This window comes from Homo sapiens, chromosome 22 (assembly GCF_000001405.40).
Source record: "Homo sapiens chromosome 22, GRCh38.p14 Primary Assembly".
In the NCBI taxonomy this organism is placed as follows: Eukaryota; Metazoa; Chordata; class Mammalia; order Primates; family Hominidae; genus Homo; species Homo sapiens.
This window is the reverse complement of record NC_000022.11, coordinates 22695517-22711819: the sequence shown is the minus strand read 5'-3', so window position 1 is coordinate 22711819 and position 16303 is coordinate 22695517. Positions and strand designations below refer to the sequence as shown.

The 16303-nt window shown below is 49.1% G+C and overlaps 1 long non-coding RNA gene, 1 pseudogene, 2 gene segments (V, D, J or C) and 1 further gene, besides 2 other annotated features; 1 reads left to right on the top strand and 4 right to left on the bottom strand.

Annotated features, from left to right (window-relative positions):
* The window catches only part of IGL (immunoglobulin lambda locus), an 896838-nt gene that overhangs the window by 211094 nt on the left and 669441 nt on the right, over positions 1-16303 (bottom strand).
* On the top strand, positions 226-15991 carry LL22NC03-102D1.18 (uncharacterized). Its single transcript, XR_001755442.1, has 3 exons — positions 226-354; positions 5415-5503; positions 15394-15991. It is a non-coding gene; the product is annotated as an uncharacterized LL22NC03-102D1.18 (long non-coding RNA).
* Positions 7002-7491, bottom strand: IGLV3-22 (immunoglobulin lambda variable 3-22). The segment is given in 2 exon segments: positions 7002-7296; positions 7446-7491. Coding segments are annotated over 2 exon segments (341 nt in total).
* On the bottom strand, positions 10779-11068 carry IGLVVI-22-1 (immunoglobulin lambda variable (VI)-22-1 (pseudogene); annotated as a pseudogene). Its single transcript is given in 1 exon segment — positions 10779-11068. A coding segment is annotated over 1 exon segment (290 nt).
* Positions 13399-13869, bottom strand: IGLV2-23 (immunoglobulin lambda variable 2-23). The segment is given in 2 exon segments: positions 13399-13706; positions 13824-13869. Coding segments are annotated over 2 exon segments (354 nt in total).
* Positions 13915-14314: an enhancer, noted in NCBI's record as "active region_18726". NCBI's record gives its function as "activates an Ori minimal core promoter by ATAC-STARR-seq in GM12878 lymphoblastoid cells {active_cell/tissue: GM12878}" and the evidence as "EXISTENCE:reporter gene assay evidence [ECO:0000049][PMID:35858748]".
* Positions 14375-14494: an enhancer, noted in NCBI's record as "active region_18725". NCBI's record gives its function as "activates an Ori minimal core promoter by ATAC-STARR-seq in GM12878 lymphoblastoid cells {active_cell/tissue: GM12878}" and the evidence as "EXISTENCE:reporter gene assay evidence [ECO:0000049][PMID:35858748]".

Genomic DNA, 16303 nt, shown 5'->3' with positions numbered 1-16303 from the left:
CTCTTCATTCTCACTCATGTCCAAGACGGGTCCCCAAGAGCCCAATGCAGGGACGCTTCTCATCTCCCACAGGGGACGGCACAAGCCTTGGACAGGTACAGGCCCCATTCCAGGGCACAGCTCCTCTGTGCTAGAGGAGAATGCAATTCTTGGTTGCCAAGGGCACATAGAATTTTGGAAGATCCATGGGATGCGGTAAGTTTCTACCTTGGCTGCGAGTTCTAGTGTCAGGTCATGGGTGCTGTGCCTCAGTATCACCAGGGTGCTGTCAGGACCAGGGACAGATCAGGAGGTGAAGGAAATGTTTGCTTCATGAGAAAATGAGAGGGGGCTGCAAACTCCAAGACCCAGGAAGTAAGTGTTTATTATAACTAAGTTGTCTTCTGTTGCTGGGAAAATGTAACAATGGATAAAAACTTAAGTCAACAAAAGATTAATGAGTAAGTATTGTGTGTCTCATAAGGAAATCAAGAACTACGAATTGGCAGGTTCCCCAGAACAGAGTCAGGAAAGACCGGGGACAGTGGACGTTGAGGGGTGGCCAGGGAAGGAGAAGTGGCTGTGTCTGCAGGACAGGGGCTCCCAGAGCAAAGGCAGGGAGGTGGGACACGTCTGACTACAGGATGGGATGGCATGTGTGACAGTGAGATGGGGGCCAGGTCGATGGGAAGAGGCAAAGTGCCTGAATGTGTGTCAGAAAAATAAGGATCATCTCCAAGAGTCAGATCTGAGAACCAGGAAGCCAGAAGAATGTAAACATCGGTGTCAAGGACAAATACTCTAAGAAAAGAAGAACCTCTTTCCCTCCAGATCTCAGGTCATGGTCACCGACCCTCCCTGCATGTGGGCATCTCCCTGATGCCCAGGCCCACCCCATCTCCAGGTGCTTCTGCCAGGTTACTCTCTGCTGCCCCCTGGTGGCCACTCTACGCGGGCTGCTGGAGGCTCAGGGGCCTCCTGGGTCCAGGTGTTGCTTCAGAATCTGCTGCTCAAGTCCCTGATCCCTTCGTTCATGGACTGCTGACCTCAGGGAAGAAACTCCTCTTCTCTGTGTGGCCCCTTCCTGCCTCAAGACCCGGCACAAGGTGCTCAAGATTCCTGATGGAAATACAAACACTCCATGTAGTAGAGGAGGTTTCAGGTTCTTCCTCAGGCTCCCTGCACGTCTGTCTCTCTGTGTGGTGGGTGGTCCTGAAGGGGGACTGGGGCTTGGTACTGAGGGATGCAGGACTCACAGGTGGCTTTGACTGGTTCTGGATACAAATACAGGGCCAGCGTACCTTCGTAGTGACTCCTGCAATAAAACAGAGACAGAAGCTCATTCACCCAACATATATCCACCCTGGCCCACTCTATCCTGGCAAGACTGCTTTTCAGGAGCTCAGCATGAGGAAAACACAGTCCTTGCTCTGAGGAGTTTCCTGTCCTATTCCTGGGTCAGTGCATGGGTCCACACCAGGTCCCAGACCCTCCCTAGTTCACCTGGCCCTGAAGACACTCAGGGGAGTTGGTCCTGGTCACTCCCCTCTACCTGATGCCCACCAGGCAGCACTGTAGGGACCCACCCTGCTGCCTGTGTATCTGGCCCTGGGCCAGCTTTCTGGGTCCCCATTGGGTCACCCAGCACTGCTTTCCCTGAAGTTCCAGAGCTTTCCTGACCCAGGAGCAGAGAATTCAGGGAGTGCACTTGACAAGGAAAGGAAGGGCCTGTGACAGGGAGTGACAATCTTAAGGCCACTGGGGAAGGAAGAAAGAAGAGCAGGACCAGGGAAGTCCTAGACCCATAATGATGAGCTCTTCTGAGTGTCCTGGAACCCGCCTGGACTTGGGGAGGGGACGTGGGAAAATCCTGAGTCAAATTTTTGAGGCCCTGATGCCAACAGCTTCCCCTCGTCAGTTCCTCCAGCTGCCTGTGGGGAGCGCTGCTCTACCTGGACATGGAGCCAGTCAGGACCTGGGAGGGCAGCCAGCTCCCTGCACTCATTGGCTGATTAGAAGACTCAAAGTACAGTACTCCAGGTTTCAATCAAACATAGGCCTTTTAATGATCCTTTAAGCTGACAAATTTTTAATATAATGTTTAAGGATTAGGGATCCCCCTATAAAAATGATCTATCTATGTTAATATTTCATTAGCTCAATAAATGAGTTGTCGATATATTAATACTATAGCATTTCTCAGTGCTTTTTTGAGCAGAGTATCATTTTCTTTTCTGTTTTTCCCATTTCCATGAGGTATGGGCCCAAATACAAGCCACGAGCATTGATATGAGAAGCCTCTGCTTTTCCTGTTCAATACGTCCCACACCTGACATGCTTACCTTATGCCAGTGTCCTAAAGGGAATCACGAAAAGCATCGGCTGAAGCAATAGGCAGAGAAATGTCACCTATGGTATGATTTTACCCAAGAGCCACACAAGGTATTTTCTCATGGAGCAAATAGATGATGCTCACACACAGGTGACCCTGCACAGGTGTGACTGAGTCATTCTGGGTCAGATGTGAGCTGAGCATGTTTCCTTCCCACTGACCAAGGTGGCTTCTGCCCTGCTCACCCCTGGGAGAAGCTCCCTCTTTGCTCCTGGTTCTTCATGCTGGGAAGATGCTCTTTTTTTGGGAAAGCAGAGCTGAGGCTGTCACGGCAGAATGAGGGGACCTTGTCTATGGGCTTTGAAATTCCTGGACTCACAGGTCCTAATTCTTCTCTGGATGCAAAATTATCAGGCAGCAGAATAACAGAGTAAGGGCCCCTTACCAGCCCCAGGCTGTGCTGAAAATGGTTTCCTAGTGCAGATCTCCCAGGCGGTCTCCAGGAGCCTGAGACTGGCTGAGTCAGTCCTCACTGAGGCCCAAGCAGCAGGGAAATGTGTGAACCTTCCCTCTTCTGTCGTGGTTCATCCAAAGATTTAGTTTTCTTTGAAATCCCAACATCCTGTCACTTGAAATTCTGAGCCTTGCACAGACGTGTTCACTGCTTCAAGTGGTGGAAAGTCTCCAGATGGACGAGTTCCTGCATCCGTCTGCACTTTCAAAAGTCTCTAATTTAGAGCTCAGCCATGTTTGTAGAGCAGAAGCTCCAATAAAGTAGGTGTGTAAGAGTGTGTTAGATAAGCAAGGGAGATGGTGAGAGAGAACATGAAAGCTTCCCAATCCCCTTCACCTCTAACCCCCGTGGTCCACATCTCCCAGGAACATACAGATGAGAGGGGCACGGACAGCAGAGACTCAGGGCTGGAAATTCCATGTTTAGAGCCACAGGTTTCTTCAGCTTCCTGTTCCACCAGCAGATCTAATCCCCTTATGCTCATCAGAGATAAGGTGTCCTCAGCCACCTTCTGTCCCTCTATGTGACTCAGTGTCCAATAGCTATGAATGACCTTTTTCTTGAGAATCAAATTCAGATGTAGACTCAGCAGTGGACACGGTCCTCCCAAGCACAGGGATCAGAGTCAGCAGCACAGAATCTGCCCCGTGAGCACAGTGTGCACAGCTCCACTGCACACCCAGCATAGCCCTACTGCATGGAAACAGTCCTGCTGCCAACAGTGAACACTGTCATCTTTGGGGGTACTTTTCACAAAATTATTCAAAAGCCTTGACAAAGGGTCTGGCTTAGAAATGCTGGCTGGAGACAGCTAACACTCAAATATGAGCATGAGAAGTTTGAGTATTCTTCCTGGCAACAAATTAACAGATTCAACAGACATTTCTGGAAGACTGGAAATGTGTGACCTTGGACCAGACAGAAGATCATTGCTAATTAGAGAAAGAGTGAGAGAGAGAGAAAGTTGAATTGTAGCATAAACAACAGAGAAAATGGTGCTCAGTACATAATTCTTCCATTTTTAACAGTTGTATAATTGCAAAATTACTTTGCTTCCTGAGCATGCAATATTTTTATTATGGTAAAATAAACATAACAAAATGTTTCATCCTTTTAATCATTTTTAAGTGTGTAATTAAGCGGCAGTAAGTACAGTAAAAATGTTGTGCAAACATCACCATTGTCCAACCCAAGAGCTTTTAGTTCAGCGCACAAAGAACCTCTATCTATTAGACAGCACTTTAGAAACTTTGGACATTGTGGACAAAATGACGAGTGTGTGATAAAAAGAAAATCCCAAGGATGAACCAAAGACGGTATTTGCACTTCACCCCCAGCTTCTGTGGAATCTCAGTGCAGTAGGGGGTGTGCCTCATCCAGGAACCCAGATGAGACGCAGCCCCTGGGGCCTTTTCTGGGCTGTTTCTTCCCAAGGAGCAGAGGAATTTCAACAAGACTGTGCCCTCTGAGACAGCTCTCTCCTCTCCCGCAGTACGTGTGATTACTTCTGGGGTTTTGTTTTCAGTTTACTGGACTGATCTCTACAATAGTTGAATGATCCTGGAAGATGAATTTGGATTTGTACAGACCCAGATGGGCAATAGTGGCATTAGCAATATCTGTGCCAGATGGGGATCTCTGGGAACAGAATGCTATGGCTGCAGGTGCACAGTTACCTCACTGAAGCAGATACTGAGGTCTTGTCTATTTCCCTCAGAGAATAGGATCAGAATCAGTGTGCATTCAGGTGGAATGGACGACAGTATACATTCACACTTTCTCTGCCCAGCATCATTAGCTCTCTTATCTCTATCATGATATCATCATGAGGGTTCAGACCATCTTGATATCATAGTTGAATCACATATACATGATGGGCATGGCCTACTGGAAGCTTTTGTGAGATCCATGCACTTTTAAGAGTGGGAAATAAACTGTTCCCTCTTCTGTATTAGCAGAAATTGGGACTTCAGTTGTCTGGAGCAGCTGAGAGTCTCCTACAAATTAAAGAACATGTTATTATACCCTTCAATTCCCTCCAGGAAGAAACAGACACAAGGTCTATAAAGGTCTAGGAGTAGCATATTTTACACTTGGGGATGTGGCTCCAACCCATATATCAGGAGCCACAAATATCACCCATTGTTTTCCAGGCCCAGAGCATTGAGGCTCTGCAGCAGGTGCAGGCAGGGTTGTGAGTGTCCTGCTGTTGGGTCCAGAGAATCCAGCTGACTCTACTGTGGGAACTGAAACCTCCTGTACATGGCAAACCCCACTGGAGAATCCCAACGTAGACTCATGGGGTTTTGGAATAAGGCCATGTCATGTGCAGTAGAGTGTTACTTCCCTTTCTAAAAGCAGCTCCTTTTGTCTTATTGGGCCCTGAGAGAGACAGGATAACACTGGACATCAAGCGACCATGTTTCATGAACTGCCAGATCCCCCCAGTTATGAGCTAAGGCAGGCCAGCAGCGGTCTCTGGTGAGATGGATGTGACACATCTAGGTTAGAACAGGATCAGGGCTCCAGGACTCAGTCACCTGCATAAACAGCTGGTCCACATCTGTGTTCTCATTTCTCTTCCACCAGTGCCTCTCCATGGCTTCACACATATGTCCTACGGGTGGAGATGGGGCTTGCTGAAGCAGGTTACTCCAAAGCACCTGCCACCTCAAGGGGTAAGACAAGACCAGCATTGTACAATCACATGATGTGAGTCTCATGTGAATCCTACTGTCTAGTCACCATACTAGACATAAAAAATAAAAAGGTAAACTAGTTTCAGTAATATATTTTATTTAACCCAAAGTGTGAAAAATAATATTTACACATGAACACAATCTAAAATTATTTATGAGATATTTTATAGCCATTTTCATAGCTACTGTTCCTATTATTATGTTGGGGAGATTCTTTATGTTGAGATTGTGTGGTTGATGGAGGTTTGAAGGAGTCTGATTGACAAGGGTGAGCTGTGCTGGCTTCGTAAGTGTCAACTTTGATAAGCTGAAGGAGGGGTGAAAGAGTGATTGTTTGTGCAGGATGTGCAGGGTGGAGGTTGGTAGCGTCCATGCTACAGCTGCCCCTGTGGGAGCATCTCCAGCCCCTGCATGGGGTGAGGCTGCTCCCCTTTCGGTGGATTCCTTGCAGAAGGATCTGTCTCCACATCTCCTTCAGGACTCCAAAAACCTGGTATGTCAGGCTCCATTTTCATTTTATAAGAATACAAGGAACACTCAGATATAAATGGGCATTTGGATGTTCACAATGGAAATTTGGGAAATTCGCTGGTGTTTCCACCTCAGGTCTATGGTAGTTTATTTTGGTGATAGCCAGCCATCTTAGTTTGGGTTTCCTGGAAGTAGACTCTGAGAAAAAGATGTGCATGCACAGAGGATCTGGAAGGAGTGAGGGAGGCATCGCCCACCAGAAGGAGACCCTGACCCACAATAGGGTTGCAACTGAGGCCTCAGGCATCCATACTGGGATGTCTGGATCTGGAAGGCCTTTCAGTGTCATCCTCTATTAGGACAGGGCCTTGGGTTCTTGGCTCAGGCAGTCATCAAACCAAAACTCTCAAAACTGGGCCTAAATATGAGGAAGGAAGTTTTCTTTGGAGCTAATAGCACTTCCCAGTGAGGGCACAGCTCTGAGCTCCTAGAAGCTCCCAGCAGTTGAGGTTGGGTGAGCTCAGAAAAGGGTATTGAGGCAGATGCCACAGTGTCCCCTCCTTGGCTTTTCCTGTTCAAAATCCCAGGCTGCCATGGAAGCCTGGAAGCTCAGGTGTTGAGCTGAGGTGGGTATTTTTCGGGACTGATGTAGGATATTTTGAAGAAGGAGTGACCCAATCACCATCGTATGGAAATCTAAGGTCAAGTGATGGTTCTCTACATCTCTTTCATCTTCCATCCAGTTCTTATTTCCCCAAGTCACTCATGAGGCCCCAAAACACCATAAATTCTGATTATAGCAGCCTTAAATCCACTCCTGCTCCACCCTCTGCAGAGCCAACCTGGACAGCTGGAAAAAAGGATGGCCTGGAGGTCTCAGATCCAGTAGAACTTGGCCAGACCTGCTCATTGCTTGGTCCACAGTCTTCCTGGTGCTGGAGGAAGAACACAACACAGATGAAAAAGGAGTTTGTGTCTCACTTCCCCATCTGCCTGTGTCACTGAGGGATTGTCCTCATCCCCAGACAAACAGTAATAGTCAGCCTCGTCTTCGGTCAGGACCCTGCTGATGGTCAGGGTGGTCGTGTTCCCTGAGGTGGACCCAGAGAATCGTTCAGGGATTCCAGGGTACCGCTCACTATCTTCGTATATCACCAACTCAGGGGCCTGGCCTGGCTTCTGCTGGTACCAGTCAGCATAATTTTCCCCCAGTACATCTCCAGAGCAGGTGATCCTGGCTGTCTGTCCTGGGGACACTGACACCGAGGGTAGCTGTGTCAGCTCATAGGAGGCAACAGAGCCTGCAAGAGAGGACAAGAGAGGGGGCTTGAAGATAACAAACCCATTCCAGTAGTATCGCCCTGAGGCTATGCCTGGGCTGAGCTCAGGGTTCAGGGTAAGACCAGGGGCTTAGGAGGGCTGAGCCTGGGGCAGGGTCTGGGGGCAGCACCTGTGTAGAGGTTGAGGAGTGGGAGCAGGAGTGTGGCCCATGCCATGGTGAGACACCCACAGCTCTGCCTCCTGAGCCCACAGCACAGCTGGGCTTCCCAGGCCTCTCTTATTTCCTCTCAGGCCCACTGGGGCAGTGCATCCTTGGTGTTTATGCAAATTTACTTCTCTGGGACTCCTCATGGCGGGATATCCCTCAAGCCAGCTCTGGGGGCAGCATGAGAAACTTAAAATGAAGGGGTGAATCCCCAGCTTCCTTCGTCTGCTTCTCCAGTCAGAAAATCAGCCTTGGCCTCCAAGGCCTGTGATCACAGTCACCGTCCTGGGGATTGACAACATGGTCCCTGTCTCAAACCTCTGTGTCATGTGGCCTGTCCTGGGCTGCATTGAGCAGGACTATGGACCTTCCAGGAGCCTGGCCTGGGGCTGAGCTGGGCCCTGTTGAGAAATCACTGATGACGCCTGACTCAGCAGCAAGTACACCAAAGATGCATCATCTTTCTCCTCTTTCATCCCTGCTCCGGATACCCCCGAGTCACTTGGCCCCATCCTGGTAATGTTATGTACATGATGTACTGTGTCTGTAGGACACTTATGAATCATTGCAGTTGGAAGAGTTTTGTCATTTGAGCAACCACACATATTTCGGATGCATCCCAATCTCTAGTCTCATTTGACATGTGGTGCTGCTCTTTCCATGGTATCCCCCAGCCCCACAGTAGACCAGCAATTGCCATCCTCAACTCTTCCTTTATTTATTCACTTTTTCTCATCAACGTTTTACGTAAACTTGCGAAAAGAACCAGAGAATCACACTGGACTGAAAATCTAACTTTAGGCTGCTTGGTCTTTCTGAGGGTCCCCAGGTCATGGTCTCCACACAAGACATGAGCTCCAGAGAGCATGTGGTCAGTAGTCCCTCCAGCCATGCAGATCCTGCCACTGATCAAAGGACAGCCCCGTGGTGAGAGCTGTGGCCTGAGGCAGGTGAGAAGCCCTGTTCCTCTGGACAGCATCTCCTGAAGGAGGCTGGTGATGCCTCATGCAGGGACCAGGGCCCCAAAATGCTTCACGCCACCCACCTGAATCTCCCCTGAGCACAGGAGCTGCGTCCTGAGTCAGAGTCCACCTGGAGCTGGAAGGAAAGGCAGAGGCAGGAGGGGTCGGGTGTATCTGGAAGTGCCCACGATAGAGGGCTCAGCTCCCCAGGACACTGCTGGACAGGGAGGGACAAGGCCCTGAGAGTGGCAGGAGGCTCAGGCCGCCATCCTGGGTGAAGAACCTGGGCCCTGGGAGCCCTGTCACCTCACATTGTGCCCCTCCTAGAGCACCTCGGCCTCAGGACTTCTCCCAGGGAATCCCCTTCCTAAGGAAGCTGCCCAAGCTGACACCTGGGCCCAGCCTCTTCTAGTTGCATTTCCCAGGTGAGGCCTTCACTGTGCCGGGCTTCTGTCGGTGTCCTTGGGTGACACTGTATGAATCTGACCCTCAGAACGTGGTCACTGCAGCCCGAGGGGATAGGATGAACTGTCTTCATTTTCAGTCTGAAGACTGACTCTTGGACACCTGTTGAACCCCAGGCTGGCCTTCCTCTTCGCCCCAGCTGGGCAGCCCCAGCCTCTCTCCTCACTGCTCCTGGCTGCAGCTCTGCTGCCCCCAACTGGTGGAGGAGACTCAGCCCAGGAGCTTTCTTCTTCCAGGTGACCCCACAGCACCTGTCACCTCAGAAGTTGAGGACCAGAGAGTCCAGCCCCATTCTGTGCCAGTGTGACCCAATCTGCCCTGCCCAGCCCAGCACAGAGAGGTAACACACGCAGTTCAGTGGGGTGGGGCAGGTGCAATTGCTATAGAAGTGTCTCAGGGTTGAAATGCCCTCCTCTAATGGTTTTGTTCAGTCAGGTCTAATTAGAGTGAGTCAACTGAAGCTCTTCTGCAACACTTTCAAAGTCCAGAGAGATGTGCATGCCATCCTACAGGGACCCAGGCTTTCTATGCACTTAGGAAGCAAACTGGTGCACCTCCCACCCAGTAAGAGCAGCTATGATTCACTGCAATCACCAGGTTTCTGGTTCTGCAGCTTAGTTGTGAGCTAACATCACCATCATAGGCACATTAATTTCATGTTTATCTTTATTTCATTCCACACCTCTCAGAGCTTGTGCCAGGAGGATTTCTACCCTAGCCTTGTCTGTCTTGCTGATGAAACTAGGACTCTCCTGCTTATACTCAGCTGGAGATCACTGTTCCCATCATACAGAAAGCAAGCCCTTTTGAGTCCCTTTCTTGGAATCTCTGCAGAGGAAAGACAAGAAGTTCCATGTCTGAAGCCCATTGGAGCCCATTAAATGACATCCCCTTAGAAGGCTTTAATTCACATGACTTTATTGTTTCTGTCTTTTAATTTTGAATGAAGAAAAGAGCTTCCTCAGTTCAGTATAAGCCTCCTCACTTCACAGCAGGTAACACTGAGGCCAAAAGAGACTAAGTGGCTCAGGGGAACAGAAAGCAGTGGGGGCAAGTCCAGGAGCTGATCCAGGTGTCCTGAGTTCTGAGCCTGGGCCCTTTTGGGTGGAGATTAACCAGGGTGGGGAAGGAGTGGGCATGAGGGCCAGGCAGGCAGCAGGGCTGTGTCCTGTGGACACACTGCCATCCCCCATCATGGCCTGCCCATCCTGAGAAGCCCATTTCAGCCTACAGAAAGTTGGGGCTGTACCCCAGGCTGGAGCTGGAGAATCTGTGGGATTGGGGCCTGCTTTGGATGCAGGGCCTGGCCTGGCTCCTGCTGGTTCTCTCTGCACTGTTGCCTGCTCCACTGTCTCCTGAGCAGGTGGGGGACAGGTGTCTTATGGCCAACAGGTGTCTCATGACCTCACACCTCAGGTTAAAGAGACGTTGGCGCTCATTCTCAGGATCCCATCTCCTGAAGCATCACTTGGGCTGAGCTCAGGGTCAGGAATAGGCTTAGAGTCCTGTGGGGGCTTAACCTGGGGCAGCATCTGTGGAAAGAGTGAGGAGAGGTAGCAGGTGATGGACCAAGGCCAGGGGGAAACATCCAGGAGCTTTGTCTCTGGAACCCATAGCTGAGCCTGGCTCCCCTCATATTCCCAAAAGTTCCCATGAAAATGCTCCCTTCATCGTGCTGGACTGCAGAGAACTTGGCAGGCTTCAGTGTAGGCTTCGTGGATTTGGTTCATGTGGAATTATTCTCTCCTCATATCTCACATGGAAGTGATTGTCGGTGCTTATTTGAACAATCTTGAAGGAAAGACAGGAATCCCAACAGCCCCAGTGTCAGGACACAAGCCAGGAATCTCAGGAGGGTTTTGGTCTTACTTCCTCATCACTTGGGATGTGTGGGACAGCAATAGTGATCAGTGTCACTGCTGGGATCCCAGGGAGTCTCAAAGAAGCTCACTGGCCAGACTTGGAGCCTGAGAATGAGTCTTATGTCTCTTAGTTTTAATTTTTGACCCCACACCTCAGCTGTGTGGGGCTCTACTTTATTTCTGGTGGAACCAGGAGACACAATTTTTACCCTCAATGTTGCTGCTGATTCAGCAAAGCTGATGATGACCGACTGCCAGGTGCCCATAAGGTGGAGGGAGACTAAGTCAGAGCAGTCAGGACCCTAGTCCTGAGGGGAGGGACAAATGTGGAGATGAGCAAGTGTGTGGCCAAACCTCAGGGTGCTATGGCTTTGATCTTTGTCACCTCCAAATCTTATGTTGAAATTGGATCCCCAGTATTGGAGGTGGGAACTAATGGGAGCTTTTAGGGTGATGGGAGTGGATCTCTCATGAATAGATTAATGCCCTCACTTGGGGTGAGTGAATTCCCCTGTTTCCGAAAGAGCTGGTTATTAAAAAGAGCCTGGCATCTTTGTCTTCTCTCTTGCTTCCTCTCCCCCATTGACATCTGCACACACTGGCTCCCCTTCACCTTTCACCATGACAGGAAGCAGCCTGAGGTCTTCAACAAGAGCAGATGCCACATTTTGAACTCTGCAGCCATTGGAACTGTCTGCCAAATAAAACTTTTATTTTCTGTATAAATTACCCAGCCTTGGGTACTTCTTTATAGTAACAGAAAAGGATCTAAGACACAAGGGGAGGAGTGAGAAGTGACCTGTGCTTCTAGAATATGCTCTCCTTGTGTGAGTCTCACCCGTGGCTTGAGTGAGGTGGGTGAATAAGAGTTCAGCCACTCAAAGTGTGGTCCTGGGAGGACCAGCAGCAGCAGCCTCACCTGGGAGTTGCCAGACACAGAGAATTTGGGGCCACATCCAGAACTGCTGAGGCTGCATCTGCATCTTAACCGATCCTTAAGGGGCCTTGTGTGTCCACTGGAATTTAAGAAACTGGTCTCAGCCACAATGGAAAATCTCACTTCCTCTGCTTTTGACAACAAGCCCTCGTTCCACCAAGTCCTTCTGAGGCCACCTGGGTCTGGGGCTTAACAGCCCTGGACTCATCAAACTCAGCTTGATTCACGTGCTTGACTCTGTCACGACATGCAAACAAAAATTTAAAACGGGCATTTTTATAATTCACATGGGTGGTGTGTTGGGGAGGAGACAATATTTTAATGAGATATCCAGAGAGAAATACATGGCTTATGCCATTTTTCTTGTTCTCACTCAGCTCCAGTGAGTCTGGACTTTCCTTATTTCTCAGACATATTATGTTCTCTTCTGTGTTCCAACTTCCATGTGTTTTTCTCTTTGAAAGTTTCTTGTGTATATCCCTATTCTTCACCCAATACCTGCCTAAATGCTAACTACCCTTCAGATCCCCGTACTCACTGCTTGTCAAGGAAGTGGTCTCTGACCACCAGAACATGTGGAAATGCAGAATTATAATCTTTTAGCTTTTTTTTTTTTGATGGAGTCAAATTAGTTCTGCAGCTGACAGTAGTTGTTATCATTTTAAATGTTTGCATTGTAAATGGTGATATAAGTCCATAGGTAATATCCCCAAAGTTGATCCTTGGACCACAAAGGATTTTTTTAAAAATTATTTTTATTTTCTTTAATTTAATTGAGATGAGGGTTCACTGTGTGGCCCAGGCTAATCCCAAACTCCTGGGATCAAGCGATTCACCCGTCTTAGTCTTCCAAAATGCTGGGATTACAGGCATGAGCCACCGTGTCTGGCCACAAAGACTAAAATTCTTCTTATCTGGATATTTTTTATAAAGTTTACCAAATCATGAAAAATGAAGAGTACTGAACTATTTGTGAAAAGGCCCAACCTTAAGCAGAACGGGAGACTGAAAAATAAAACTGTAACAAGGTACCATTTTTCACTCTGATACGTTGGCAAAAATTTCCACATTCAACAATGTACTCTGAACAAGTACTTCCAGCTGGCATTGAAAATTGGTACAATCCCTCTGGAGGGGAATCTGACAACATTGGGTGAAAATCACAAACACACATCTTTCTGACCCGCAATTTCACTTTTAGAAATGAATCCTATGGTCGTATTCACACAGGAACTCAAAGGAGCCTGCATAGGGATGTTCACTGCACTGTTATTTCTAAGATCAAAGTTGTGGCGATAACCATTAGAATGTAGTTGCTAAAATTCTACCCACAGTGTAGGGGATGATGATACATGTAGGGTGAAGACATCCCTGAAAAAAGCAGTGACTGCACCAATCAGGCAGCTCCTTGTCACTGTCCCTGCATTTGAAGAGCTGGGAAGAGTTGCACATTCAGGGACCACAGCACACAAGCATCAGGAAGCTGTCCCTGTCCTGGATGGGAAACCACAGGGCAGGTTTCCTGTTGGAATTCATGGTGGAAAGGGAAGGAGCTGAGAGAGAAGAATTCTCAAGGCCGCGCTGCAGCAAGCCTCTTGCACCGGGTGAGGAAGCATCTTCAGAGCAAGGAGGAAGTCTGAAGGCCCTGGGCAGGTTTTGGTCTCAGTTCCCCATGAACTTGGACCACTGTGGAAAGTGCTACTACCTGCATATGAGCAGCAGTAATAATCAGCCTCGTCCTCAGCCTGGAGCCCAGAGATTGTCAGGGAGGCCGTGTTGCCAGACTTGGAGCCAGAGAAGCGATTAGAAACCCCTGAGGGCCGCTTACTGCCCTCATAAATCATGAGTTTGGGGGCTTTGCCTGGGTGCTGTTGGTACCAGGAGACAAGGTTATAACTCCCAACATCACTGCTGGTTCCAGTGCAGGAGATGGTGATCGACTGTCCAGGAGACCCAGACACGGAGGCAGGCTGAGTCAGGGCAGACTGGGCCCAGGACCCTGGAAAGAGGGAGAAACACATGCCAGTGAGTCAGTGCTGGGCCCCGGTGAGCCTGAGGAGCAGGAGACCAAGGATCAGCCCAGAGGTCCCCAAGACCCCTTCCCTGGAGGCGTCACCTGTGTCCTGAGTGAGGAGAGTGAGGAGCAGCAGAGCCCAGGCCATGGTGGAGACGTCCCGAGAGCGCTGCCTCTTGTGACCCCAGCACTGGCCCTGCCCCAGCCCTGTCTTATCCCCTTTGCCTCAGAGGAGGGCGGGGCCTCCATGAAAATCAGCATCCTGGGCTCCTCTCCTCACCCCACCCTCACGTGGGCCTGGGCTCAGAGACTTTTGCTTCCCTGGACAGCAGGGCTCAGCTGAAGAGATGAATGTTCTTGTTTGTGCATGCTGATGGCAGGAACTTAATTTTTTTTGTACCTGATTTGCTCAGGAGAGAAGGATCTGCTGAAGTCTCTCACCTGAGTGAGCTCCTGGCCCTCAGTGCCTCTGCTGTGTAGTGCCTGTGTCTCTGTGACTCTCTAGGCCTGGGCATACCCCACAGCGCCCTCTGCTTGGCACCCACCTCCAGCCTGTCTCTACTGTCAGGAAATGGGGCTGCCCACCCCGTGGAAACCTCTGCTGGGTGGCGCTGGTCTCTGGTCTCCCCAGCTGCAGCCTCATCCCATCCCCACCTCCACGTTTTGTGCTGAAGCATCTGCACCATCGAATCCCTGGAGCACATCAGCCACCCCAGGCAGTGCACCCACATCCACACGGGGCACATGTGGGAGGGACCCTCTGGAGGGACACAGAGCACCGACCAGGGCCACAGTCCTGAACCCAAGCCAGCTGCTCCCAATCCTGCCCTTCCCACTCATGAGCAGGTGACTTGTCCTTCCCAGTCTCTGGTTCTCAGCCTGAGAAATGGGGACCACAGAGTCCACTCTGCACACAGGTGATCCATGGGGATATGAGCCAGCAGGGGAAAGGGAAAGTTTGCTAACAGGCCTTTCTATGTGCACCAGAGTGATATTTATTGGGAATGATTTATTGAAAGATTTTTTCCATTTTACTTTGATTTATGTTTTGAGTGGCAGAGATGTGTGTTTTTGGCTTTCTTGGTTTCCTCCATCTTAGCCCCTCCTTAGTGAACCATAAAACTGACCTCTCTGAACCCTGCAACACTGAAGACACACAGACAGTCTACAAGTACATTTTTGGTTTTTTTCTTAAAATGTTTTTAATCTATTTTCACCTTTCCCAATGCCTATGACAAAACTCTTTTAACATTTCATATTTTAAAAAAACTATTGGGTCGGGCGTGGTGGCTCACCTTTATAATCCCAGCACTTTAGGAGGCTAAGACAGGTGGGTCACCTGAGGTCAAGAGTTTGAGACCAGCCTGACCAAAATGGTGAAACTTCATCTCTACTAAAATACAAAAACTAGCTGGATGTGGTGGCGGGGGCCTGTAATCCCAGCTGCCCAGGAGGCTGAGGCAGGAGAATCGCTTGAACCTGGGAGGTAGAGGTTGCAGTGAGCCGAGATCATACCATTGCACTCCAGCCTGGGCGACAGAGCAAGACTCTCTCTCTCTCTCAAAAACGAAACAAAACAAAAACAAACAAAAACACAAAAAAACAAAAACAATGAATGGATTCAGGTTCCATTTAAATATTATAACATACACTATCCTGTCTTCCCACCTAGACTGAGCTATGAAACCGTGACAAGTGCATGGAGCAGCTATTTGAGCACCAGGAAAGGAAACGATACGCAGCAGTTTGGGATGACCCCAGCAGATGAAATACAACAGAGTCAGTGTGAGACTCCTGGATTTCCTCGGTGTCCCCTGGCTGGGATCCAGACAGGCCAAACCTGAAGGGGCACAAATCTGAAAACGGAAAGAAGTCCAGGAAAGTCTTCTTCTTCAGAATTGAAAATAGAAAAAAAGTTTATTTGGCTCAAAGTGAGGGCTCAGTCCCCTGTACAAGCAGATGGTCCACACTCCTGTTCTCATTTCTCTTGCACCAGTGCCTCTCCCTGGGTTCACACTGATGTCCTATGATTGGAGATGGGGCTTCCTGCACCAGGTCACTCCACAGCCCCTGTTACCTGAAGAGGTGCAGACCAGCACTGTTCAATCACAATATGATGTGAGCCTCATTGGAATCCCAATGTCTAGTCACCACATTAGAAATACAAAGAGAAGAAAGTAAAGGAGTCCAAATAATATATTTTATTTACCTAGCATACCAAAAATAGTATCATTTTCATATGTAATCTAAGTTCAATTATTTATGTAACATTTTAGATACCTTTTCATGTCTACTGTTATCGTTTTTTGAAGAATCATTCTGTGGAGATTGTGTGGCTGATGGAGATGTGAATGGGTTTTCTGTTGACAAGAGTGGGCTCTTAAGGCTTTTTAAGTGTCAACTTTGATACACTGAAGGAGGGGTGAAAAGAATGATTTTTTGCATAGGATGTGAGGATTGGAGATGAGCAGCATCCATCCTGCAGCTCACCCTGTGGGGGTGCATCTGTGGTCCCTGTGTCAGGTGAGGCTGCTTCTCCTGACCCTGGATTCCTGCAGGAGGATCTGATTCCAACTCTCCCT